Source organism: Homo sapiens, chromosome 10 (genome assembly GCF_000001405.40).
Source record: "Homo sapiens chromosome 10, GRCh38.p14 Primary Assembly".
Taxonomy (NCBI): Eukaryota; Metazoa; Chordata; class Mammalia; order Primates; family Hominidae; genus Homo; species Homo sapiens.
In genome coordinates, this window is record NC_000010.11 from 130,843,627 (window position 1) to 130,846,644 (window position 3,018).

General features: G+C 46.9%; 1 annotated feature.

Moving 5' to 3' along the window:
* Nucleotides 231–1,430: an enhancer, noted in NCBI's record as "CDK7 strongly-dependent group 2 enhancer chr10:132642120-132643319 (GRCh37/hg19 assembly coordinates)". NCBI's record gives its function as "activates an origin of replication core promoter dependent on BRD2, BRD4, P300/CBP, MED14 and CDK7 cofactors, with strong dependence on CDK7, by STARR-seq in HCT116 cells {active_cell/tissue: HCT116}" and the evidence as "EXISTENCE:reporter gene assay evidence [ECO:0000049][PMID:35650434]".

A 3,018-nucleotide genomic window follows, 5' to 3' on the forward strand; every position in this document is an offset into this window, starting at 1 on the left:
TTGGACAAGGAAACAATTCCACTATTTCCTGTAACACAAACTAACGTATTCTATGACATTCCTTAGATCGGACGTCTAAATTGGAAAATACACTTTAAAAACCCTTTAACAGGTTGCATTAATTTCCAAACTAATGTTATATGTTGTATTAATTTCCAAAGCAAATCAAATATGAAGTTCTTCTAATTATGTCATACCTCTTACAGGAAAATTAGGCTTTTCATTGACAATCAACACTCCATTGTTTATTTCTCAAAACAAAATGCTGATCTTCTTACAGAAATAGTTCAGGAAGGGACCTCAATCATTGCCAAAGCCATTGATGTGGGATCCCCAAGTTCTCTGGGGTGCATGTGAATGTGCACCGGCTAAGTGCTGAATTGCCTCTGCAGAGGGTCAGTAGAGCTTCTACAGACAGGATGGAGCCAGTCCCGGCCTGGGATTCATGATGACTTTTAACTTGACGGGAGGCAAGAGGGACTTTGCAGGTGCGTTGGAGTCTGAACAGAGGTCCAACCTTGCTCCCTTGCCCTAAATCCTTCTATAGGGTTCTAAGTGAACAAGAGCATGGCTGGTCCAGAAATAGGGATCCTGGAGACAGCGTGTGAGCGGGAGGTGGGCTCACACCTAGCTGCACAGCTGGGATTAGCACATTCTCCGAGTTGAATGCTGGCTCCAGGAGACGCTGCAGCTCTTCTGATGATTTGCTGATGCTCTCTTGCTTGGGAGTTTGTCTGTTTCCATTCCTCAAGCCAGCAGCGCTTCTTTTCATAAATTAGATCAAAGCATCTTTCGGAATGCACTGAAGACTGGCGCGGAGCTGACAGGCCTCTTTGGAATTTCTTGACTTATTTTCCTAAGATGCAAAGCTGTGAATCACCCCAGGACTTGTGTGCGGGGAAGTGTCCCCTGGGAGGGTCTCCCATGGATCACTCTCATCATGACTTGCAATTTATAGATTTCCAAGTAGATGGTTATTTTAAGCAGATTATCTTCTGCAGAGATGCTTAGACTTATGACATAGAACTCAGTCAGCAGGACTCAGACTTGATTTAGTTGGCTATTTCGGATACACAGAGAGTTTCTATGAAAATATTTCTTTGTTTTTAATTTTTACAAAGGAAACTCACAAGTCAGAAAGTATAGGCAGTGTTTCAATAGTGGGAAGCAGCATGATTAGAGGTAGCCTCACCTTGCTTGCTTCTAAGGATGGGGATAGCCATATTTCGCTGGTCACCTTCTGTGGTCGCTGGTACCCAAGGCATTTGCATATGGATTTATAACCTTCATGACGAACTTGATGTTCATTAGCTCTATTTTACAAGCAAGGTTAGAGTGAAGTGAAAAAAGGGCAAAAAAGGGACTCCAGCCTGGTTTTCAGGTGTTAAATATTCACTTACTAATTGCACTGATCAGGTCACAAAGAAAGAACCCATTGGTGCTCAGAAGGTGAGCAAGTGACATCTTTTAAAACAAAGGAAGACATTCTTATCATTAAACAGTTGGCAATATGGTGGCATTTGCAGACAGCTGGGTAACATTTTAATGGGTCTATTTCAGCCTTGTAAAATGTTAGAGCAGAGAGGACCTTAGAGGTCTCTAGTCCAAGCACCTCAGTCTAGAGACAGGACACCAAGCCTCAGAGAGGCCAGCTGAGCAGCTCAATGTCACAGAGCAAGACAGCAGCAGAGTTCAGCTGGGCCCTCATCCTGCCTCCTCCAGGCCCCGTGATGAGTCTCCACGATGTCCTGTTTCCATGGAAAAGCCTCTAGGTTCACAGGGTTGGCATCCTTCGGCCACAAGTGTGTCAGTCACGTGGAGCCCTTTCTGCAGCTGAACTCACTTCTGATTCACGTGGCTGTCTCTCCTAGATGACAGCCACACCTCCCAGGACGGTATGGCCATATCTCACCCCCTGCTGCACCTGTCTCCATCCCTGGTGACACAGGGCTGGCTCTGCCCTCTTCTTCCCAGGGGAGGCTCCACTGTCCCATTTTCTGAGGGTGTGGCAGGGACCTGGAGCAGGAAGCCAATGCCACAGCCCATGCCTTGAGCTTGCCATGATGGGAAAGACAGAAGCAGCACCTTGAGACATTCCAGAGGGAGGATGGACACAAGCGGGGTGGGGCTCTGAGTTTTTCTTTAGACATCCCAGAGGAAGATGGACCCCAGGCGGGGAGGCTCCGAGTCTCCCTTTAGACATCCCAGAGGGAGGATGAACACAAGGAGGGTGGGGCTCTGAGTCTCCCTTTAGATACCCCAGAGGGAGGATGGACCCAAGGGGGGTGGGGCTCTGAGTTTCCTTTACACATCCCAGAGGCAGATGGACCCAAGATGGGTGGGGCTCTGAGTCTCTCTTGGAGCCACCCTGATTACTGCTGACAGGTGAGCCCTGGACCTACTGGAAGCTTCTGTCTCTGAATCAAAACCAGCAAGCCTCTAGTGTGTGTGTGTGCCAGCCACCGTTCCAGGAGCTTTTCCTAAGTGAGCTTGTTCACTCCACAGCAGCCCTGTGAGGAAGGTGTGAGGATTATGAATGTTCACCTCAGGACTCAGACAAGGTCACCAGGGTGCAGGAGGGAGAGCCAGGACTTGAACCCAGGGCCTCTGACCTCAGCTCCAGCCCTCTGCCTCTCCTCCCCTCACCAGTTTCAGAGGCTCATCCCTGACTCTTCTGAACCTTCCCAAATGTTTTTTATCTTGGACTTATTTTGGTTTTTGAATATATGGGTTTTGATAAAAAAGAAAAATGTTGATTATTTATGCAATTAAATGTTCTTTATTCTAATACTTTGGTATAAAATTCCATATTTCTTTTTTTTATTATTATACTTTAAGTTTTAGGGTACATGTGCACAACGTGCAGGTTAGTTACATATGTATACATGTGCCATGTTGGTGTGCTGCACCCATTAACTTGTCATTCAACATTAGGTATATCTCCTAATGCTATCCCTCCCCCCTCCCCCCACCCCACAACAGGCCTCGGTGTGTGATGTTCCCCTTCCTGTGTCCATG